This window comes from Homo sapiens, chromosome 6, assembly GCF_000001405.40.
Source record: "Homo sapiens chromosome 6, GRCh38.p14 Primary Assembly".
In the NCBI taxonomy this organism is placed as follows: Eukaryota; Metazoa; Chordata; class Mammalia; order Primates; family Hominidae; genus Homo; species Homo sapiens.
In genome coordinates this window covers 121113985-121140283 of record NC_000006.12, presented here as the reverse complement: position 1 = coordinate 121140283, position 26299 = coordinate 121113985, and the positions used below count along the sequence as shown (strand labels likewise).

The window sequence follows — 26299 nt, the reverse complement described above, 5'->3', positions numbered from 1 at the left end:
GTGGGGGGAGGTATATATTATATAAAACAGAAGCGAATTCTAGTTAGAACTTGTTTTTCATCATTTGTAAATTTTCAGCTCTGAATGAATTCAGTATAAAATATGTCTTGAATCATTGGGTTCTATGTATGAGTCAAATGTCCTTGAAAACCATATTATGCTCTTAGGTAAAGACCATGATGCTAAGCCACTATATTGCATCTGTATTATTTGCATAGTTTTGGCATTTTATAAAAGTAGACAAGTGAAAATACAAACCCCTGGCAATGTTAATGCATTAATATTTTGGGGAATGGAAAAGGTATTCCTTTTGTAGGTATTACTATATATAAAGTTTATTTTAAATATTTTATAGTTGCAAAGTACTGTTTATAGAACAGTTAGAAAATTGTTGCAATGCATTTTGGTTAATAACAAAACTAATGATAGATAACATTTCTAAATCAGAGATGGGGCCAAAGAACAAGAATACCATATTCTGTGTCTCTGGAGCTATGCAGCGTTCAGTGAGTGAGTAAAAAAGTTCTTGGGTTTTATAATTATAATCTTAGGATGCCTACATATTTTATCACCTTATGCTGATATTAAGGTTTTTTTTGCATTAAAAGATGTTGAAATTTAGCCTTCTTAACTACAAATGTCTATTTTTTTCACTAGAACAATATCCTTAATTTAGCAAGATAGTTTTCATTAATCTATACTGATTTTGTTTAACAATTTTTCTTGTTCTTATTGGATATATATCCTTATTCACTGGTGTTGATTCTTGCTGATACTTTCTGCCTTTTCAGAAATTAAGTCTCCGTTCATGTCTCTGATGAATTATTGCCATTTCATTTACAAATTGATGACAATCCATTCTCCAATTCTAATAGTAAAGATTTAAAATTGGAATATTACCTGCATAGTATGTGGAAATAAACTTTTTAAGAGAGAAAAGGGGAGAATGAGATGGACTGTAATTGCAATTGCATTTTGATAAAATAATGAAAATTGCCTATTTAACGAATGACTGGACTGGATTGCCTTTGCAAGTGTGATGAATTATGTAAAATTTAGGATTACTAATTCCCCCCAATCAACTAAAAATAGAATCCCCTAGGCATGAGTAAAAATTCTTTGAAAAATAATATGGTATGGCTGGGCACGGTAGCTCACTCCTGTAATCCCAGCACTTTGGGAGGCCGAGGCGGGCGGACCACAAGGTCAGGAGATGGAGACCATCCTGGCTAACACAGTGAAACCCTGTCTCTACTAAAAATACAAAAAAAATTAGCCAGGCGTGGTGGCGGGTGCCTGTAGTCCCAGCTACTCCAGAGGCTGAGGGAGGAGAATGGCGTGAACCCGGGAGGCGGAGCTTGCAGTGAGCCGAGATTGCTCTACTGCACTCCAGCCTGGGCGACAGAGCGAGACTCCGTCTCAAAAAAAAAAAAAAGAAAAATAATATGGTACTATATGAAGTGTAATATAACATGATGACAGATATTGTGTGTGCTTATTTTAAAAGCCTTTTGTATTCTGTCTTACACATATAGTCTATAAATACTTTTTGTTGATATAGTCTTTTATCAAATATTTATCTAGGCCTTTATGTCAAGTCAGGCATTTTCTCATGCTTTTTTCTTTTCTTATTGTTTCTAACCTTGGAATTAAGATTTATTTTCTGCAGATAAAGGTAATTGACTTTTATTTGACATCAACCTATGAACTGAGGGAAGTGGTAGTATGACTGAGATTATGGTTTTTCCCCTCTGTAGTAAATCTTGAGCTGCAGCTATTGAGATGACTAGAAAATCAGAATAAGTATTTTCTTTTGATAAGTAAAACTTAGTTTTCATGTATTTTTACTGTCATATCTATCTATAGCAGAGAAAATAGATCTTCTACTAGTGCAGGTGCAGTAAGATGACAAGGGAAGACTAATTCTTCATTTGTTTATTTCCACCGATTTCTCCCATAGTAAGTGCTTAGTTATCAAATATTAATGAAAAGCAAACGTGGGATGATAAATCCAAAATAAGGAATAATCTATGTAAGATATGGATGACATACCTTAATCCACAGTTGTTCACACAAAATAGAGACTTGTCAGAATTTGGATACTCCCAAATTTATAGATGGAATGATGTATAAATTCTTTGTATTAGTTTTCTGTAGAATTGCTTCTCAGGGACCACTCCAATGTTTTTCCTTGCTTATTATGGTAAGAGTAAAGTGAAATGCTGACTGCATTAATCTAAATGGAGGAAGAGAAAGTAAGTAGAAACACAAAAATAAACTTCAGGATAATACAATGTTGGCTATCTAAATTAAGCCTAGGAATCTCTTGCTAGTTTATAAAGTCTTTATTTTACTTTTTCTCCCTTTAGAAATGTCAGTTGTTATTTCAAAAATGGGCACTCAAAATTACTGACTGACATCCTAGAAAGTAATTATTAAACTTTTTCTGTGTAGATTGCATGTTTTCCTTTATATTTATGTCGACCTTACTGTTTCCCTCCCCTTGAAATGAAAGAACTATACAGAAGTTCTTTCTGTATAGTCTCTCTTTCTACATCATCTATAATAATCTTACATTTTTAATATACTCTTTTTTCCTGTATGACCTGAGAAAATAATTATATAATATCCCCAAATATAAAAAGATTATAATGCTTACCATAACAAAGAATTTTAGAGTTTTTGAAATATTTTCAACTATCAATCGATTTTTTAAACATGAAACTTGATGTGTTCTTTTTTGTTTTCCTTTTCCTCAGTGGTGGTAAGGACAGAGAATAAAGTAGTTGTTTTTTTTTTTTTTTACCTTCTTCCAATTTTTCATAGTTGTCTATAAATCATAGTGGTCTTAAAGAATATAGAGAAGAAGACTATTTCTTTCTCTACCTTACTCATTAGATAAATCAAACCTTTCTTGGGAAAACAAACTGGTAGTTTTCCATGGTGACTTCATCATAACTGGATATAGAATGGATATACTGAGACATCATTTATTATATTCTGTCTCTAGAAATAATACTGCACTTTTAGAGGAATGTAGACATGGTTGCTATAAAAATAAAGCATTGTGAGTTTAAAAGGGATTATTATATTTAATCACCTAGAAAATATAAATTACTTTCTTATTTAGTCTTAAGAAGTGAATGTTCATTTCATTACAGGAGCCTGTATTTCATTCAGAAAGCAGTCAGAACCTCTTATCAGGACATATTAATGAGGATTTTAAAAATGTATACTTTAAAACACTTTACCATAATATAGTCATTAGAGTTCTTGTAAGTGAATCATTTTACACATGCATATACTTTTAATTAAATCTTAGTGAGTTCTGATATAGACTTTATAACTAATTATGAACTATAACTGCTCATATTTTAGTAACGTACTAGTATGCTTAATTTCAATCACTTAAGTAACCTTCAATTATACACATACTTGTTTACATACACATACTTGTTTACATACACATGTGTATATAATAAAATTTCTATATACAACAGAATACATCTGTTTTAAGAAAGGAGTTTGAATTTTTAGAAATATTCATACACAGATCGCCACCACCATAATCAAATATAGAACATTTTCTCATGATCTCACATTAATTCCCTTTGTCTTTTGCAGTCAGCTTCTCTCCACCCACTTGCATACTACCATTAATTTTTTTCGTTACTATAAGTCAGGGCTTCTCAGTCTTAGCACTATTAATATTTTGGGTAATTTGCTTTTCTTTGCCAGGGGGGGATTTTCCTGTGCATTGTGGGATTTTTAGCAGCCTCCCTGGCTCCAATCCACTTGATGCCAATAAAACTCTCCCTCTCTCTTCTCAGTTGTGACAATCAGAAATGTCTATAGACACTGCCAAATGTTCCCTGGGGAGCAAAACCATGTCCACTTGAGAACCACTGCTATAAGATTAGTTTTTCCTGTTCCAGCATTTCATACAAATAGAATTACATAGGATACATTCTTTGTACCTGTTTCCTTTCTCTTAGCATCATGTTTTTGAGATTGACCCAGGTTGTTACATGTCCCATTCACTTGTCTCTTTTTACTGAGATGGCAGTATTGAAAAACCACAGTTTGTTTAAACATCTACTTTTGGTTTGTGTTTTCTTTAAATCCCTAAAAATAATTGCTCTTATGTCCTTGATAATTTCAATCTTTTGTGAATCTGTGTCTATTAATCTGTTAATTGATGTATCTGCAAGTTATGAGTCACATTCTTTCTTTTTATTCATGTTAGGGGAGTTTTGGGGGGCATTAGACATTATTAGCTTTACATTGAGTGCTAAATTTTGTTGCCTTTCCTTAAGGAGTGGTGGACATTTTTTTGGTGGGCATCTAAGTTGCTTGTGGATCAGCTTGACTGTCAGGGCTTCCATTTTTTTGTTAGGGTGGATGTATAATTGCCTTACTTTAAGACTAATTTTACCTGTTACCAAGGTGTGACCTTTCTGGGACCTCTGTGGAAAACCCAGGTAGTTAACTAGTACTCTCCATTCTGTTTGGAACTTGGACATCTTGTAACTCTAGGTGTGCTCTGGGAATTATTCAGTTTATAACCCCCAGCTGTTGCTTTCTCAGCCTTGTGAAATTTCACCCTTAGTTTCCACAGCTGATTAATCAGCAGCCAACTTGACAAATAGTTAGCCAGTTTGCTAGAGCTCTTTCTCTCCAGTATTCTAATCCACAAATTTTAGCCTCTTTAATCTCTTTGAAATCTGACACCTGTCTCCTTAATTCAGCAAAACCTCCAGGAAGAAAGTGGACAACCATAAAGCTCACCTCATTGGTTTCCCTTTTCTCAGACATTACAGTCCTGCACTGCCCATTGGCTAATGTCTGAAAACAGTTATTTGATATATTTTATCCAGTCTGGTTATTTACAGCAGAAGGCAAGTCTATTCCTAGTTCCTCCATCGTGGCCAGAAGGAAAACTTTTTTTAATATTCTTTTTTTCCTGATTATAAATATAGAAATGTTCCATATATAAATTTTGGGAAATATGGAATTCTATGTATTTTTCATATTACACTCACAGTCACTAATTTAGAATTGTCATATAAAATATCTATTATGGAGGAGCTTTCATTTTCCCTTACCTCATGTCTCCATATCAAAGGGCCTTTGCTGGAGTAATACCACTGGCCTCTCCCTGGACTTCCTTACTCATTCTGCATAAGTTAAGAGGAATGGCTGATAAGTGAATCTGGAAGAAGGAATAGAAGGTCATGGGCTAGCCTACTTGTAGGCTGCACTTTTAATTTAGCCAGTCTTTAGATTATTTTTGCACTTTTTCTAGCAAGAACAGTCAGGGGGGCCTTTGTCTCTGTCTGCCTATGGCTGAATAGATTTATGGTATTCAGTTCAGGGAAGACATCTAGAAGGCCATGTGGCAGTAGATGCAAGCAATGATGCTTAATTTAGCTGTTTATATACTAACACTGATAACTTTGAACTCTGTTTATCTATACCTATTGGCTTCTCAGTTGGTCCCAAATTTGGAGAAGATAAATGAATTATTTATTGTTCCCCTCAAACTCAGTAATATCACAGATATACATGTTTTTCAGTTAATATCATATCACATCATTTCATATTTTTAACTTTGAGTAATGCAAATTGTAAAGCATATACTCTCAATGGTGGCTGGGGGAAGAGTAGCCAGAAGTATAATGCAGGGTACAAAGCTGTCTCTCTAATAGTCTTTTAGTCAGCCTGTTTTCAGCTCAGCATTTCTTTATTGCCTCAAATCCAATTTCCAGCTATCTAAACTGGGTCCTTCAGGCTGTCTACCAACTGGTAGATTCAGGCGCATACCACATCTGCTGCCTCGGTGCTGTTTACAATTATAGTGCCTTGTGTTCTTTTCCTTAGAATGAGATGATGAGAAAGCAAAACAGAATAGCAAGTGTGAAAGGAGAGAGAATGGAGAGCAAGAGGAGGGAGGAGTAAAAAGAAAACAGATTTATAAATAACAGATAGCCTATGAAAGGGCTATATGGATGTCCTCTGAAGGAGGTAGTAACATCCTTTGTTTGAAGGAGGTAAAAGATGGAGTTACACATGAGTAGAAGAAGAAAACAGGAGGAAACAAAGATGAAAAAACTGCATTATCTTTGCAATCATGTGTCACTAGTGTTTCTTATTAGACTGTAGATATTTTATTCTTGGCAATATGTAATGTGGATATTTTAAATGAAAACAATAAAAATTCAATTTCAATAATGTCGAATTAAGTCTTTACCTAATTCTTGTCAAGATACATTTAACATTAAAACTTTTTTGTTAGCAATAACATAATTTTCAGTAAAATTATTAGCTGTGTTGAAATTTTATGAGTTTATAGTTTTAAGTGTTTTTATTAAAAAGAATCATTTTCTCTTTTGATTTAATGCTTGATAATTTTTCTCTAGTTATTGCTTCTGACAGAGGCTATTTGTGAAACGTATCATTGTAGTCTTGGTATTCAAATAAAATAGATTAGTACTGAATAGCAGAATTACATATGCTTTCAACAAAAGAGCTTTTTGCTTTATGTGTGTATTTATGTGAGTCCACATGTGTTTGGTGTATGTATCTGTGTATTCATGTGTTTGTATGAGAGAGTATGTATGTAGCTTTGGTATAAAAAGGGTTTTTCTGACGTAAATGTCAAATAGGGAAATACTTACATAAATCTGATTTTATATATGATAATCATGAGGATCATGCAGCAATACGTAGCAGTTTTCTTAGGGCTAAATAACACTGAAATTTTACATCACAGGAATGACATACCTTGATTACAGTATTATTTTCTGTTTGTTTACATGTATATACACACATATACATGCATATGCTTTATATGACATGTGCATTTCATGAGGGCAGTGATATTGTCTTGATTATTATATCCACACAGGAGGACTTCTGTATATAGTAAATGGAATTTTATAAAAATTGGGCTGAAAAGTTAAATTTAAATAGTTGTATTATGCTGGAAAGCTTCTTTGATTTTTAAAACCTGGAACAATAAAGACTTGTTTTCATCATTATAATTTTCTTTAAGAAAAAAGTAAGACATTGTTAGCTGAAACCCTCTCAAGTATCACGTTTACCACTAGTATCTTGCTGGTGGGGTTAATTAACCTAAAATAGAGCTTAGGTAGATGATTTTGTAGTGTTAATCTTCCCATACCATAATTTAGAGCAGAAACAATTAAGCCTTTAACCCTATAATTTCAAAAGGTTCTTGTTCTCTTTTTATCAAAATCTCTTTCAAGAGAAGTGGTAAAGAAAAAGGTATGAATTAATCTGGCTACTGGTTCTCCCATTTTATTCTAGAAAATAAGAGAACATCTTTGCCTCTTTCGTCACCTTTGAATTTTTACATATGTATATGTGTATATGAATACATATGCATATATCTTTTTTAACAACACTTAACTATTCATTTACTATATTATTCGTTGATTTTTTAAAAATAAAATCTCATGGGTATAAGTACCTTTAAAGCTATGCAATTAAATGGAATCTGCTATGTATTAATGAGTTCACTTAGAAGAAAAGTTACATTTTAGCCATAAATACTTTCTTTAGCTCTATTCATTATCTTCAGTTTATGTGCAGAAAATCTCTACCTCCATCCTCTTTGGGTCCCAGCAGAATCTGAGAATTAAACTGAAATAACAGATTAACAGGAGAAAAGCATAATACAAGTTTTACATGGCATGAGAGTTCTCATAGGGAAATGAAGACTCAAAGAAGCAGTTACCTATATACTGAGTTGAACAAAGAATAATAAACTGTGAAAATGTGACTAAATTATGTGGGAGGCTTAAAAGATAAGTCATTTTAATAAGGTTTGCAAAGTATTCTCTGGTCTCAACTTCTCATCCTTGAAGGTAAATATGTTGTCTTTTCTTCTAGTATAGAGAGTGTCTTTCACATGAGAATTTCATTTTCTTTATAGAGAAACAACACGAAGCTCAACGTGATCTTGCACTTGCTGTTTTTCAGTGTCTTTAATTTAAATAATCAATATGCCAGAATAGCATGTTTTAACCCCTTCAGCAGCATATTTTTTCCAAGATGAATAAATGATTGACTAAAGATTTTTTACACTTATGCTTTCTTTTTGCTTTTTAAAGAAGTGAATAAAAAATTGTATCTGAAAGTACATGAGGAATGAGTGTAGTGTTCCTGTCAGTCCACATAGTGAAATTTTAAGGTTCACGCTGTCTATTAAAACAGATACTCAGTAATGAGCCATATTCATATAAGAAAAAGACTATTCAAGAATTATGGTTACAAATCACAATCCATTTTATGAGCTTTTAATAATTCAGTAATTCATTGTTGTCAACTTTTAATACATGTAACAAACAATTGATGGTATAAGATGTAATTACAGAAGAATATCTGTTTTCCTTTGAAAGCCATATGTATTCCATATGGAATTTTCAACTGTTTACATAGTTAACATTAATAATTTTTCAGTATATCTAGCATGTCTTATTATAATAGTATGTTATCTTTCTGATTAGACAATGATCTTGACAAGCTTTTATTATGCCTCAAAATATCTGATAAACAAACTGAATGGATAGAAAACTGCCAAAGACAATTTTGCAAAATGATGAAAGCCAAACCTGATATAATCAGTGGAGAGGGTAAGTACATTGTTTCCATTGTGGGTTTTCTTATGTATGAAAATTATATTAATAGAATCTGTGGTTCTTAAAGATTAGTATTGGCATATGTAGAAAACATAATGCTAAATCCAGAAGTTTGCTGATTTCTGAGAAAATTGGGATCCTGAGAGAACACAAATTAAAATATGAGACACTACTAAGCATTGTTTTTTTCTTTTTGGAACTGTCTAAACAGTCTTGGTGAGCAAAACTAGACTAGGTAGCAATTTGCTTGGTTTTTTTTTTCATATTCAGTTTTTACCTGAATATGACATATTGTTATATTTTTTAGAAATTTTATTGATTTTTTAATCAACATTGTTATTCTGAATCACTTTTATATTCATGGAAGTAAATTTAGTGACTCCTAAGGAAATTTTGTTTTAAGGGAACAGCTATGTTTTCTAAATTAGCAAACAAGTTTATTTGTATTCAGTTATCTACTTGCGCATTTGTTTTCTGAAATCATCATTTTTTAAATTAACATATTTATTTTGAATAATGTAAAAAGAAGTGCTTAGAAAAAAGTTCTAATGTCAATATAAGCTAGATTTCCTGAAAACCGTAATTTAAAAGGTATTGTGTACTTTATCAGCAATGCTTTATAGTTTTCATAGAAAAGTTTTTATATTGTTAGTTCTTGGAGAAATATTTCCAGAGAATAATGTTATATATTTATGGCTAAGAAATCAAATGTTGTTCTCCAAAGTTTGAGTATAAAGTGAGCAGTTAAACTATGTTTTATCCCCCCAGATATTTATAAAATATCTATTCTAAGTATATATTTACCATTGATTGAATAATAGAGAATATTTAATATAAATGGTGGGCTGCACAGTTTAATATAAACTCTTAATTTGCACAACAAATTAAGAAAGCAGCAGACTGGAATGATGTTCAGTTTAAATACAGGAACTAAATTCGTATGTCGTTCTGAGTTTATCTCTAACAGGGATAGTAAGACAAAAGAGAAGTATCAGCTGTTTAACTCTTACTCATTCCTCTGAAACAGGACAAACATGTAGAACATTACCATTAAAACTGTGTTCTCTTTGGAATCTGGGTATCTTAGGGCACTTTCCACAATTCTGGACCTCAGTTATTTATTACTTTGTTTAGTTTTTGAGACAGAGTCTTGCTCTGTCGTCCAGGCTGGAGTGCCATGGTGCGATCTTGGCTCACTACAACCTCCGCCTCCTGGGTTCAGGCGATTCTCCTGCTTCAGCCTCCTGAGTAGCTGGGATTACAGGCGCATGTCACGACACCTAGTTAATTTTTGTATTTTTAGTAGAGACGGGGTTTCACCATGTTGACCAGACTGGTCTCAAACTCCTGATCTCAGGTGATCCACCCGCCTCAGCCTCCCAAAATGCTGAGATTACAGGCATGAGCCACCGCGCCCTGCCTATTCATTACTTTGATACTCTTAAAAATAGAGTCTAAAAGTTTTTGGTTCCTTTTTATGGGCTATAGTTTTGGGGCAAAATCTCGTCTCTAGCAATGAGCATTAGGTGATTCCACATAATTACTCATAATTATAAAAAGTCTTCTTATATAAGAGTCTTCTTTTTAAAAAAGGGATATGTTTTTGTGATTTCTAATTTACCTTTGGTTATATTTAAGTTTCTTTTTATTTTGCTCTTGTAATTTAATCCTGTTGTCCCCTTTGTTTAAATTTTAGTGCTCCCAATTTTTAGGTTTTTCCTGTGTGAGATACCATCGAGAGTATAAAATGAAGTATGTTCTTCCTGTTGCTTTCTCTTTTCTGATTATTACCAATAGTATCTACTCAATCATTGAAAGGAGAAACTTAATTTTCCTTGACTTCTTCCTTTTATCCCCTGAATGATACCTGTCCTCTTAGTCATCAAGTCTTACAGATGCTATTCCTAAGTCTGTCTCTAATTTGTTCTTTCTCATTCATATCTTCTGCCACTACTTTAAGTATTCATCATTTAGCAACTGGACAATTATCTAACATGTTTATTTTAGGAAAATCAGAAATTATAAATAAGCAAAATAAAGAGCTAAAATTTGCCTGTAATTTCATCCTTCATATATTATCACTTTTTATTTTTAATCAAAATCAGTCAATATAAACTATACTATTTCATTGGACATTTCACTCAGTACAATATTATACAGATGCTTTTCAACTTACAATGAAGCTACATCCTAATAAATGCATCATAAGTTGAAAATGCGTTTAACATACCTAACCTACTGAATATCATAGCTTAACCTAGCCTAGCTTAAATGTGCTCAGAATACTTAAGTTATCCTATGGCTGGGCAAAATCTAACACAAAACTATCTTATAATAAAGTGTAATTTCTTGAATACTATACTGAAAGTGAAAAACAGAATGGTTGTATGGGTACTCAAAGCATAGAGCTGTCCTAGTTTTGGAATCAGTTATTGTTATGATGATATCTTAGTTTCTTCAGGCTGCCAAAGCAAAATACTTGAGGTTGGGTAATTTATAATCATTAGAAAATTATTTCTTACAGTTCTGGAGGCAGGGAACACCAAGATCAAGGCAAGAGCAGATTCAGTGTCTTGTAAGGAATTGCTGTCTACTTCAAAGATGGTGCCTTCTTACTACATCCTCACATGGTGAAATACAGGGAAGGACAGCTCCCTTCAGCCTCTATTATAAGGGCACTAATTCCTTTCATGAGGACAGAGCCCTCATGACTTGCTCACTTCCCAAAGGCAAAACTTCTGAGTACTATCTGTTTGGATATGTATTGGATTTTAACGTAAGAAATTTTCAGGGATACCGACCTTCAGACCATAGCAGATGGCAAAGCCCAAGGAGAAAGTAGAATCAATACCCAAGTATCCTTGAACAGTCTGCCTTAGTTTTTTCTCAGCAGAAAACCCACGTGTTCTTCTTAGTATATAAATATTATAAATTTTGGTTTTATAGACTATTCATGTCGTATTCCTACCCCAGGAAATAGATGTGATTAAAGGGAGAAGGCCCATAATTTAAAACCCTCTATAGAAATTCCAGATCTGTCATTTAAAATGTAAAAATTTACTTTAGAGGAACAATATTCTATAGTTTACTTTCTGGACAGTAACATCCTAGAATTAATTTGTTTTATAATTAAGGATTGTTTTGTGACATGAATTAATTTCCTTGTGTTAATGGAATTTTCAGTGGGTTGACAGTGAGGCTGTTGGTCATACTGAGATAAGTAGCCACTCTAGTAATTATGTAGTTCAGCTACACTTACAATTGGTTAGAAAGATGTACTGAGATAAGAGTCATAGGTTCAATGACCACATATAGATCAATTTTTAGCATTGTTACATGAGTACAGCCTATCCCTCAAAATACCTGAAAATATATGTTGCTGTTCATAAGGGTTGCTGGGCAAAATGAATAAATAGGCATCAGTAGAAATCTAGAACCTTCTTGGAGTACTTTAGTAATGTCATTTTTACCTATGCAATATAGAATTTGTTCCTCCGTAATCCTCTAATGTACTGATCCAATAACATTATATTTGAATATCAGTACTTGCCAGAAAATAGTGTGGCTTGCTACGTATGAAGTTGGTCATGTGACTCTTAAGTATCAGATTATTTTGTGTGTAGTTCCCTCACAGATGTAATGAATTTTCTGTATTTCTGACCTAATCTCAGGCACAGGATTCAAAGAATTGCTTAGCAATATGCTTTGTCTTTTCCCATTAACTCAAGCACTTTACTTAAATACATAGCGTGTAGCAAACATGGTTGTGCCAAAGTAAAAATAATTACATTATGTTTGGAGTTATAAAAGTGTCTTTCTGTATAACCTTTGTTACTAATGTATATCTTGCATCTTAAATTATTATCATTAAACTAAGAATGATTATATCTGAACTTCATCAAGACATTGTTCTTTCTGTAAAATTTATAATCTCGAGACAGTATTAAGTGATTTATAAAGAAAGAAGTTTGTACACATAGAATTGAAATGCTCTCACCTGAGGGCTATTTAATTTGTTAATTCATAGAAGAGAGACTTGAAACATTTTTATAAATATGGCAAAATTTGTGTCTACACATGAAGATAGAACCAGTCTAAGCAACTATAAACATAAATAGCTTACAATACTGATGTCCTTTCTGACCCTTGACAATTGGATTCTTATACTTTTAATACTTATTCAACTTTGAAATCATCATATGAATAGAGTTCAATGAATAAAATCATTTCATTTTTGTCCTAAGCCATTAAAATATTATGAGATAGAGCTTGTCAGCTACAATTGCTGAAAAGCATATGTTATTCCTCTTTGATTTTGGACTTTTCACCTGTTGAACACTAATTGTTCTCCAAGAATTATATTCTTAAAATGTACTTGTTTGTGGAATAGGGTTCATTTAGTTAATATAGGTTAGAGTTAATATCCTGGATATAATTAAGGGACAATTTTACATAGTGAGTAAAGTGTACTTGTTATTTAAAGCATAACATTGACTCTACAAATTTATTTATTGTCAACAACAACAACAAAAAACTCAAAACCACAACAAACTCTGGGTTGCATATTAATTATATTGTACCTGTTTATATCCATTTCAGGGGTATTAGATGCAAGCCTAGTGGCATTATCAAACCAGCCTAGAAAATAACCATTTTATCACTTCCAAGCCAGATAGGTCAAGCCTTCTTTTGATATTGGTTGCCTTGAATAGATACCGTCAGTTGCAAAGCATATAAAACATATAATATGTCCTGATTTTGAATGAGCTATGCATTGATCCTAGCCTTAGAACCCACTAATACTTTTTTTTTGTTATGCATAAAGAACAAAGGTAAGGTATTATAGCATAATTAGTGATTTTTTTTTTCAGTTTTGAAATCATTTAGCAAATTCTGAAATAATTCTTAGAGGATCTAAAGAAAACAGATGATCCTTTTTCAGTTTTATATTGACTAGGTTCTTAGCTAAGCTATTAAAGTTTAATTTGCATCAGAAACAGTGTTATGAATACTAAAACAGTACGCATTTGAATTGAACTCCCTTAGAGTGTATCTGTGAAGTTCAGATGACTTTTACCTACTAGTTCTGTGATTTAAGGATGCATTGTCACATATTATTCTGACCTTTAATATCCTAATTATTCCTTTGTTTATTACAGCCTTAATAGAATTACTTGAAAAATTTGTGCTTCATCTCACTGAAAGCCCATCTGAATGCTACTTCCCTTCAGTGGAGTATACAGGTACATTTTAAACATTGTGAAGTTTGAAAAAGACTCAGTATGTAACTAGATAATTAATGGAGATGTGTAATGATATTACAGATAGGCAGTTTTCTCATCCTAACAATCTCTTACTTGGTGCCATATACATTCCAGATATCATTAAGCCTCTTTTCTTTGTAAATGTCTAGGTTTCCTTGTAACTCTGTGATTCTTTCTTGAGCTTTCTTTTTCTCTCTCTATCCACTAAAAGTTGTTTTGCCTTAAGCAATGTCTTCTATTCTTCTGATTCTATCATTTATTCCCTAGTGGTCTCCTCTGCTTATACTGTTTTACCTATCTCTCATATATTGATGATTTCAAAATTTACATCGTTCACTCAAAGATCTACTATAGGCTTTATTCTTGTATTTCCAGTGGCCTAGTAAGTAAACATCACCTGGATATGCCACAGAATCCCTCAAACTCACTATGTCTCACAAAAGATACATGCATTTGTCTGGGTCGGTGTGATGGGCATGCTAGCCTGTGTCCCACAGCAGATACTCAGAGGGCCCAGTCTCAGCCCTGGCTTCTTCTGCTGCAATCTTAACTGTGCAGGGAATTACTGGGTGACATGTACACCTCTGAGCTGAGACATGTCTCTCCAGCTTCTATCTCATAGCAGATCCCTAGGGTACTAGTATCAGCTCTAGTCTCTTCTACAGCAGTTGGGGAGCTGTCTTTTCAGTGCAGGGACCTGCTAGGAGATGTGTGCACATCTGAGCCAGCATGATAGGCACATGAGGCTCCATCTCACAGCAGATCTTGAGGAGCGTAGTATCAGCTCTGACCCCCCCGTTGCAACTGAGGAACTACCCCCACTTGTGCAGAGACCTGCTGGCTTACACATCCCTGTCTGAGCCAACGAGATAGCCTATCAGCCTCCTTCCTACAGGAGATACCGAGGGGCCTAGTCTCAACTCCAGTCTTCCTTATACAGAGACCTGCTGGGAAGCGCACCTATCTGGGGCTTACAGTCATCTGGACTCTGATTCCTGGCCAGAGTTCCTGCATAGCTCCAGTGCTCTCTTTGGATCTTCCCCATGTCTTTCTGGGCTGGAAAGCTATGTCAATCTCAGGCCTTGCAAAACATGCAGCAAGCCTGGGCTTAGAATGTTCTCTAGATGGGTACAATAGTCGCAGGCTCAGTCTGCTTAGTCTGCTTAGAATCCCTGGAAGGCCCTCTAGAAAGATAGGCACAAATAAAGCTAGACTGCAAAGAGTAAAATAAATACATAATTCTGCAGCATGTAGATATCATCGGGTGTCCACAAGTATTAAGAACATTCATGGAAATACGACCTCACCAAATGGACAAAATGAGATGCCGAAGACCAATCATAAAATGACAGAGATGTGTGATCTCACAAAGATTTCTAAATTGTTTTAAGGAAGTTCAACATACTTCAAGAAAACACTAAGATCAATTCAGAAACTTATCAGAGAAATTTAATAGAGAGATTGAAATCATTCTTAAAAATTAACCAGAAATCCTGGAACTGAAAAATACAATGATTGAAAGGAAAATGAAAAAATGTAATAAAGAGCATCAACAGCAGAATTGATCACACAGAAGAAAAAAAAATCAGTGAGCTTGAAGACAATTTGAAAATACATAGTCTGAGGAGAAAAAATGATGAAAAGGAATAAAGAAAGCTTATAGGATATATAACAACATCAAAAAAACAAAGATTTGAGTTATTGTAATTAAAGAGAGAACTGAGAAAGACAAGGGCTAGAAAGTTTATTCCAGGAAAAATAACAGAAATATTTCCAAACCTGGAAAAATGTACAGATGACTAGATACAAGAAGGTCAAAGGTCAACAATTAGATTCCACTCAAATAAGAATACCCCAATACATATTATAATCAAACTCTCAAAAGTCAAAGACAAAGAGAAGATCCTGAAAACAGTGAGAGAAAATAAGCAAATAATATATTAGGGAGCTCCAATATGCCTGACAACAGATACTTTACAGGACAAGAATGAGTAGGACAATATACTCAAAATGTTGGGAAAAAAAAGTAAAAAATAAAAACATGTAAACCAAGAATACCATATCCAGGAAAGCTATCCTTAAGAAATGAAGGAGAATAAGACTTTCCCAGACAAACAAATGTTGAGGGAACTTATCACTTTCAGACCTACATACAAGAAGTGCTAAAGGGAGTTTTAAAATGGAAGGAAAAGGATGCTAACATGATTATTGCACTAATATTTAGTCATGGTATGTTAACCACTTAATCTTTACTAAGAAGACTAAAAGACAAACTATTAAAAACTGATAACTACAACAATTTTTTAAGGGATAGGCAATATAAATAATATAAATTGTGAAGTCAAAAATTCAAAATGGTGGTAGAAAGGAATTAATGTGTATAGTTTTTTTTGTTTGTTTTTGCAATCAAGTTATCTTTTTAAAATAACATCATAATAACTATAGGAAGGCTTTGTAAGCCTCATGGTAAACACAAACAAAAAAAAACCTATAATAGATACCCAAAAAAAATACTAGCAGAAAAAAATAAATGCAAAAGAAGGTAGTAAGAAAGGATAGAGGAAGAGAGGAGTCACACAATAACTAGTAAACAAGTATTAAAATGGTTATTATTAATAGTAACATTGAATGTAAACAGACTGAATTTTTCTATTGAAAGATACAAAATGGCTGAATATCAAAACAGGACCTAACTATATACTTTCTACAAGAAACTCACTCCACTTATCAAGACTCACATAGACTGAAAATGAAGTAATGGAAAAAGATATTTTATGCCAATGGCAGCCATAAAAGGATAGGAGTAACTATACTTATATCAGATGAAATAGACTTTAAGGCAAAGACTATAAAAAGAGACCAAAAAGGTCATTATATAATGGTAAAGGGATCACTTCAGTGAGAGGATATAACAGTAATAAATATACATGCACCTAACACTGGAGCACCCAGATTCATAAAACAAATATTGCTAGACTTTATGTGAGAGATTAACTGCAATACAGCTGTAGAGGACTTCACTCTACTTTTGGCCAAGGATAGATCATCCAGGGAAAAACTGTAGAATCATTTCAATAGATGCTGAAAATGCATTTGATACAATTCAACATCATTTATAATAAAAAACTGTTAACAAATTGGGTATAGAAGGAACATACCTCAACACAGTAAAGCCCATATGTGATAAACTCACAGCTAACATCATACTGAGTGAGGAAAAATAGAAAGCTCTTCCATTAAGATCTGTAACAAGAGAAGTTGTCATAATAACCTTTTTAGTTGATATCTCTACTTGGAGTCTGGTTCTTTTTCAAAGGTGCTCTTTACACTGCTCTCAGAGTGATCTTTGACATGTAAATCTAACCCACTCATTCCTCTGCCATTTCTCACCATTGACCATAGCATAAAGTCTCAGCTTATTATCATGGTACCCATGATCTTACATTATCCTGCCCCTTCCTTTTCTCAAGCATCATACTTTCTTTCCATGCAGAACACTAAACTCTTCACATCACTCCCAACTACCCCCTGTCCCAGACACACATGTGTTCATTATGCAACAAATTATCCTGTATTAGGTACTGACACTGTGACAGAAAAAGTCTTCTGCTCATGGAGTTTACTTTCTAGTGGGAAGACAGAAAATAAGTAGAATATTCAGTAAGTTAAAAGGTGTAATGATAAATGAGGAAATACACAACAGAAAAAGGATCTGGGAAGTTTTAGTTAGGAGTGAAGATTAAAGTATTAAATAGTTTTCATATAAAGTTTTATTGATGATGCATTTTTCTTTTTTTTTTACCACACTTCAGCAGGGGATGTGCAGGCAAGATATATGGGTATTTTCAGGGCAAGAGAGTGCTAACAAATGGCCACAAAGGAGACTAATATGGCTAGAAAGGAGTAAAGGAGAGGAATTGGTGGTGTTAAAAGTCAGATAGGAGAGCATGATACAGGATCTTGAAAGTCATTGCAGGGTTTTGAACATAGGCATGACATCCTAATTTGCATTTTATAAGAGCATTGTGGCTGTGGTGTTGAGAAATGACTGAAGGAAGAGAAACGACTGAAGCAGGGAAATGAGTTAAGAGGCTATTGAAAAACAGGAATGGCTGAGATGAGGATGTCAGTAATGGAGACGGTGAGAAGTTTTTGGATTCTGGATATATTTTAAAGATAGGGCCAACAGAATTGGTTAACAGATTGAATGTGGGGTATGAGAGAAAGAAAGAAGTCAAGGAGGACAACAGGCTATTTTTCTGAGTTACTAGGAGGATGGAATGATTGTACATTGAGAGGAAGAATAGGAAAGGAAGGGGAGATTAGGTGCTGGCTTTTTTGTTGTTTGAGATACTTGTTGGACATTCAAGTAAATATGCTTTATACATTCTGGACATGTGAATCGAGTTTAGAGGAAAAGTGTGGGCTACAAATACAAATTACTAAGCCATCAGCTTGGTATATAAAGCCAATACATCTCATTGTAATTTCTTTCTCAAATTCTGACTTAGTGTCTAATTCTTCTCATTCCTGTAAATTTCTTTAGGGTTGTTTTTGTGTTTTACCTATCATTTCATTCTCTGCACCTAGAACAATAACGTCAATAAATGTTTGTCAAATAAAGGAAAGAATGGATAAAAGAATGATGGAGGAAGGCTTTATAAAATGTGTCAATTAGTGTCTTAATTTAATAGGCAATAGAGTAAACCATTTAAGATTTCTGAGCAGAAACTTTACTTGATTCACCTGTACCTTACAAAGATTATTCGATAATAGTAACTGTGTAAAGGAAAAAAATGGAGTACAGAAATGAAGTTTTCCACGGATGAATATCCAATACTTAAGGGGCAGTGAATAAAGAGACAGTGAAGAAAGTAGAGTTAGCATATACTACTGATAACAGATCATCTTTCCTGTAAGGGTGATATGATTTCTTCTTTTGCTGAAGAAACCATCATTCAAATATGTGTTATTTATTCAAGTTAGACATATCTTTCTAGCCTTATTACCATTAACTGCCCAAACACATTCTGCGCATTTGCCTCACTAAATTTTTGCTCCTGTTGTTCCTTCTAGATGGATGCTTCCCTCTCCATGACATCCACATGATAATGCCCGACTCACCTGTAAAGTTTCAGCTAGAATGTAACCTCTCTTATTCCTAAGCAGGATTCTCTCTTCTCTGCTCCTACTGCATTCACTTTAAACTACCATTTTGATAGTTTTATTATATTGTATATGGCTAAATTGTTACATTAGGTGTCAAACTCCTTTGTATCTTCAATATGAGATTTAATTATATATATATACACATACTATATTCACATCTATATTCAAAGAAACGTATTATAGTTCTGTAACAATTCTAAATATCTAACAATTCACATAATTAGATACATGTGAATATACAGATGACCCTATATTTATTTACACATAATGATATCTAATGCAAACCTGGGAAAGGGGTAAAAGAGACTTAAGAGAATTAAAACAAAGAAATGAGAAGAAAATACAAGATACTATTAAACGAAAGTTAAGGTAGGTGAAAGGAATTGATATCTATTGATCACCTCTTTTAAATTAGGTATTATGTTGAGGCACTTGATATACCTTGTGTCATTCAACCCTATAACTGTTCTCTGAACTAGACATAATCATCATATTTAAAATGAGGAAATTGAGGCATAGAGGAAAGAAAACATAAATTGGGAAGAGATTTTAAAGGAAAGCATTTGTGAAGAAAATTATGAACTTATGAATGAACATAAAAATTTATGTGAAAAACATACAGCTATTAATGGTTAAGTTGGGAAGTAATAGGAAATGAGTAAGAAGTGTGATAGTCATGGAAATTTGCATGACCAAAGTGGGCATTTCTTTAGACTTAAGCATAATAATCTCCAATTCGTATAGCTCTCTTTTTCACATTGCTTTATTGGACCATATTTTCTGTAGAAAATCTAAAATTAAAATTATATTGTATATATTACCTAAATATTCAGCAAAACTGATTGCTCAGTGTGCATGCGTTACTGCCCTCTGTTATGTTTCTAAATTATGCCGAGTGAGATCTCAGATGTCGGCTTTGTTGAATGTATTAGCTAGGCAGATAAACCCTGAATGCGGATTTAAATTCCTTAAAGGTTCCAGCTGAAGCTATTCACCAGTCTTATAGTAAAGCCAAAAAATGAAGTGACTTTCTGTTGATTGATTGTTTAATATTTATTATTTTGATATACTGAGCTTGTTGCTAGTACATTGTTTTCTTCCCAAGGCTTTAGGTATTCTCATCCTTTATCAAGTATTTTTTTGGCTGGTGGAACAATGATTTTTTTATTATAGAATTTCACTGTATTTGCTTTAAATTAAAAATTGTTTTGATATAAAATGTTTTAAAACAAATACTGGATAGATGTATTCAATGTTTTTTTAGGTTTCTGGAAATGAGAAATTGATTATCTTTTAAGAAATGACAGACAGCCTTCTAAACCCTAAGGTAGTTGAAATTAGAATTACACAATCATCCATCTGTTGTTAGCTCCCTCAGGATTTCAATCCATTATAAAATTTGCAAATCTGGAAAAATCAAATTAGTTTGGCTGTTTATCCCTTTAAAGAAAGAGGAAAGAACAAACAGATAAACTTCTGCACATTTGCAGTTTGTAAATTCATATAGGTATCTTTCCATATCTTAACAGACATTTCCTTTTTGTTGGTTCAATTCCCTGGAACAAGTTGGGAATTTTTTTCTAGTGTAATTGCTTCTTTGAAATGATAAATTAAATGGCCCTTTCAGGGTGATGTGTATTTTTATTTCTTTTCTCTTCGTAATGCTAGTTAATCAAAATGTTAGAAAAAAAATCAACATTTTGCTTGTTTCACCTTTTGATTATTAAAATATAGTTTTAAATTTAATTAAATATTCTTAAACACCTTTTATATTTTCTTTGAAAAGCAAAAATGCTCTCTTCTATCTTACATTTATGAAACGTTTGTGAGTAAAGCACAGTGTGTGATAATTGCAAAGAGATATTTAATATGAACCTTTCCTCAGGAAGGAAAAATAGGACATATACCTAAAATTAGGAATTAAACAAATTGCAGCATATAGTAAGGTAGAAAATAAAAGAAACAGTTTTTCAGCTGGCTACTTGGTTTCAGGCAATGTGCTTTTTAATATGCTATTTGAATTTGGTAATTGTCAATGAAGGGTTTTATTTTAAGGGCCACAGGTGTCCAGTAGAAAATGACATCAGTGTCAAATTGGTGCCATCATGGAAAATAAGAGGAGGAAGCGTTAATAGAGAGCAGGCGTAGTACTTGTGCTGCCTCCTGGGATATTAGAATGGAAATAAGCAAGAGAAGAGGGGAAAAGTCTTCCAGGCAGGGGTAATTGCATAATCAAGACATGGAAATGCTATTTTTCCCAAATTACACTGACTACATCAATTAGGAGGCTGAGACATGTACAGTAGACTGGTCACAAGGTACTGAATTCTGTGGTAGTAAGAACTGAATAAAATGCATGGATACAATTACATATTAGAAAAGAAGCAACAGAACTTACAGACTGACTTTGGGAAAGGAAGCAGGGAGGAAGAAATGTAGTCCGTTGATTCCTTTGGGTAGTAAGAGTTTTCTTAAGTTAGGACAGGTAAGGGAGGGCATTAGGAGAGTCAGTAAGCAGCCAACCAGTAACTGCCTCTCCAACCATGGATTTGTCCTCCAGTGGAGAAATTCTTTACTCTTCTGAAAATTTATTTTTTTCCATACTATTAGGTGCCAGGCAGAATAGATTTAATTTCTTCTACTGCTGTTGTATGTGCTAGCTTTGCAAACCAAAAACAGAACAGAATGCATGACCCACACTGAGTGATATCAGTTCATGTGACATAAATTTTGTCAACTCATTTTATTTTGAAACTATTGCATTTATAGTTAAAAGTATTGGTTATTTTGAATAATTTAATGATTAACTCTAGCTTAGATTGAATTAAGCATTGTTAGTAAGTGGGTAAGTATGATGCTATACATGTCATTAGCATGTACAGCATCATACATTATTCTTTTCATTATTCTTTTCACAGTGACTTCAGGGAGTGGGAGCTATCTCTTCTATGTGTTACTTGATTTTAATATACAGAAAATATTTTTAAGTCTATGTCTGTTTTCTTCTCCATCTTGCTTCTAGTTTGATATTTAAAGTATAATTTCTTTTGTTGCTATTCATTGGATGTTGGTTCATTCATTTACTCATTCATTCATTCATTGTTTATTAAGTATGTGTTATGTATCCTACACACTGTTTTTCCTAGATCAATTAATTACTCGTTACCAGCCATGCATATGGATCAAAATCCTCTGAAGACGTCCATTTTTAAAATTATTTAATTTTACTTATTCATTTTTCCCCATCGATTTTATTTTTGAGATTTCAGTTCCTGCTTTATAAGTTAATGTAGTCCAGAGTTTTGTATAATAAAAGTTTCTTCCACCTAACTTTTGTTGTCTGAGATGTATTTGGAATATAAAATTTGCTTGCTAAGTTATCATTGTGTATCAATGATATACAGTGATTTATTGTATATTGATACTGTATATCAAATATAATACAAATTTAAAATGGAAACCTCTTTTTTTTGTTTTTGTTTTTTTGAGATGGACTCTCACTCTGTCACGCAGGCTGGAGTTCAGTGGCATGATCTCAGCCCACTCCCACCACTGTCTCCCAGGTTCAGGCAATTCTTCTGCTTCAGCCTCCCAAGCATCTGGGATTACAGACATGTGCCACCACGCCTGGCTAATTTTTGTATTTTTAGTAGAGACCAGGTTTCACCATGTTGGCGAGGCTGGTCTTGAACTCATGACCTCAAGTAATCCATCCCTCTCAGCCTCCCAAAGTGCTGGGATTACAGGCTTGTGCCACCAAGCCTGACTTGAAGCCCCTTTTTAAATATATGCCCCTAACCCATTTTCTGATGTCTTCATTGCTGCTTTGGGGAAGTTTTTATTCCTTGCATATTTTTATCTGCATAGTTTTGTTCATACCAAAGTTATATACATCTCTTTCACATCAGTGATTTTTTAAAATGGATGTTCGATGTTTGTTTTGGTATGCCAACACCTCCATATATTCTCATTTAAAAGCTTTTTTGAGAATTTGCTACACTACATTAAAGTGAAATTTGGATAGTGTTGTATAACTGTCCAATTGTAACTCTATCTAAATTTAACTTTTATTCCTTCAAATGTAAATCTCAACTTTATTGTATAACAAATAAGCTGTAGAGGCCTTTAAAAATACAAATGACTGGACATTCCCTCTTGGCAATCTTATTTAGTAGTCTGGAGTCGAGTCTATTTATCTTTAGTTTTAAAAAGTCCCTCAGAAGATGAACCACCATAGTTTAGAACCATTATCTGTTGAAATGTTCAGAGTTAATTTTTTACTCTGAAGATACACTGTCATAAAGTTTTAGAGAGGGTCTAGACTTTGGAAATTATTTGTACAACTCTAGGAAAGTGAAAGGACTCATCTCAGGCCTCACAACTAGACCACTATGTAAGAACTCTTTTCTTTCACAGGGAAGAACTATTTAACACATCCAATTCCTTTGGACAACTCCTCTCACCTTGCTGCATAACTTTATTACATTCTTCACTGATGTGCTAGGTCAGTGTTTCCTGATAGAATCCACTGTGGTCTGTGGAACACATCATGATGGGAATGCCCATTCTTAACACCTTTCTCCACCCACTGCACACTCATCCTTTACCAGTAAGATATCTATCTATATCATACTTTCCAGAAGAGAAAAAACATTAGTATTACTATAGGCACACAGATCTATATGTTAAGGTTCAACTTAAATACCACTTCTTCCTAGCTAGACATAATCTTTTCATCTTCTGAATTCATGTAACACTTTATCTGTATCATTCCTATTTCATATAGGGCTTTAAAATACCTTTATCAGAGTTATCTATATACATTTGATCTCTGACACTACTTGGACAGGTTTTTAGGGTATGATTTATCTTTTATCCCTCATAGCTTCTTGCATGGTGTTCCATACTTACTATATCAGAGATGATTTACTAAGGGGATGAATGAGCCTGGAAGTGAAATAGATTATACTGATAGTATGAGAAACACCAATGTGTAATGAAGGAAAAAAAAAAAAAACTTCATGATATTCTGAAAACCTAGGTTTTGGTCTTCTCTACCACTAGATAACTATGTGATGAGTCTCTTAATTGTGTGTGCATGCACTGTGTGTTCATGTGTTTGTGTGTATGTATGCATGCTACAGTTTTCTCAGCCAGAAATTGAAAGTTTCAGCTAGACCCTGAATGCTATTTAGTTGTGCCTTTGAGGGTTCACTGTTAGTTTGGTCCTCTACTGTTCTCAAGAACTAATCCAGACTTTCAGCCTCACCTGCAGTCCTCTGTACTATGCTATTTCTATTCTGAAATGGACTTTGTAGATAATATAAGCAAGCTAATCACTATCTTATTTGTAAGAAATAAATGAAAAGTGATTCATTATGAAATGTTTGGATATATTACAGTATAAAATATAACTAACCCTTTCTTCACTTTTGGTTAGATGATTACAACAACTACTTCGCAAAGAAAACTTGGCCTGCAGGAAGAAATTCATTCATTCTACCCTCATACGTTACCATACATTAAAAGTGGAACACTGATTACTTAAAGATTAGTATCAGGAACGAAATAACCATTCTTGTATATATTTGTAATTCAGAGTTTTATGTATGCATTGCATGATGAAAGTAGTATTTCTAGACCACTTTTTGGGTCAATGGCTCTTTTTATTCTGAGAGCCAAGTAAAATAGATTGTTTTAAAACTACTATTGTTATGTATTTAATATGTTTTCCAATGCTTTTTATGGGAAAAAGTTATTTGTAAAAAGTTTTCTGTTAATTCCTTTGAAAATGTAACTGACAGTTCCTAAAAGAATAAATTCATCAGTGTTTTCAAAATTCACATTAAAATATGTAAAAATATTGCTTTCATCAATTTTCAATTAAAATGTGATTATTATGCAAACTTTTCTGCACTTTATAACTCAGTTTTCTGTTGTCTTTAGCTACTGATGCAAATGTGAAGAATGAAAGTCTTTCATCTGTGCAGCAGCTTGGCATTAAAATGACTGTCAGGTATATTATAGGGAAATAGCTCCCTTGTGCATTTCTAGAATTTGTTTTATCTGCCTCATATGTGCTCAGTAGTATTTAATTTAACAACCAACTATTTTGTATACTTTAAATGCAGAGTTTATCATTCGGAAAATGACTTTGTTTTTGAGGATATTGGCACATGATTAAATTACCTCTCTAGGTAAATCAGTTACAGTTCATTGTTATTCCAGAGGCCAATTACAGTGTGTTTAAGCCCTCATGACTATCAGGTTTTTTACAAAAATAACATTGTAAAAGTCAGCACGTTGGTAACACAGTCATACTATTTTCTAGAATATGATTAATTCCATGGTGATGAGTACAAAAGTACCTGAAGGACAGATGCAGAAGTTAAAATTAAAAAACTTATTGCAGTTTGAATTTTTAATACTCAAGTTGTAATTTTGAAAAGAAACAGGTAAGCTAAACAGTGAACAGAGAGTTAAGGACTGAAACCTTGAAACTTCCCTTTCTTGCTTATTAAATGGGGATTTTAACATTCCCATTTTACTTATAGGGTCATCTTCAGAATCAAATTTTAAAAAGATACGTGTAAGATTTGTTTAAAAAGCTGGGTATTTTTATAAATTCACAGCATGATGAAAGTGATTTTTTTAATAATTTGAACTTACATGCCTGTATCACATAGGGCATATGATTCTCTTAATTATGTTTTGTGATGTTGTGCCTGCTTTTTGTACAAATATTTTATAATGCCCTATTGCTATTCTGAAATGGACTTCGTAGATAATATAAGCAGGCTAGTCACCTATTTTTTAACTCAATATAATATCTTATTTGTAAGAAATAAGCAAAGTTATTATGAAATGTTTGAATATATTACAGTATAAGATATAGCTGGCATCCAAGTGTAAAATAATTTTGACTCCAGCAGCTACAAATACAGACGGATTTTTCTTTTCATGCCTCAAATACTACAGTGTGGCCACGAGCAAAGAGATTTTGTGTGTGTGTGTGTGATGGAATCTCGCTCTGTCACCCAGGCTGGAGTGCAGTGGCACGATCTCGGCTCACTGCAGCCTCTGCCTCCCAGGTTCAGGTGATTCTCCTGCCTCAGGCTGCTGAGTAGCTGGGATTACAGGTGCATGCCACCATGCCCAGCTAATTTTTGTATTTTTAGCAGAGATGGGTTTTCACCATGTTGG

General features: G+C 33.4%; 1 protein-coding gene across 21 annotated transcripts in view; it reads left to right on the top strand.

The window, feature by feature from the left end:
* TBC1D32 (TBC1 domain family member 32) overlaps positions 1 to 26299 on the top strand; it is a 255236-nt gene that overhangs the window by 194446 nt on the left and 34491 nt on the right. For 8 of the 21 annotated variants that reach the window (XM_011535570.2, XM_011535571.4, XM_047418310.1 and 5 more), the window contains 4 exons: positions 448 to 510; positions 8532 to 8657; positions 13823 to 13906; positions 25043 to 25112. In XM_011535570.2, the coding sequence (XP_011533872.1) occupies positions 448 to 510; positions 8532 to 8657; positions 13823 to 13906; positions 25043 to 25112 (343 nt within the window). The other 13 variants (XM_047418311.1, NM_001367759.1, XM_017010398.3 and 10 more) reach the window with 7 other exon arrangements.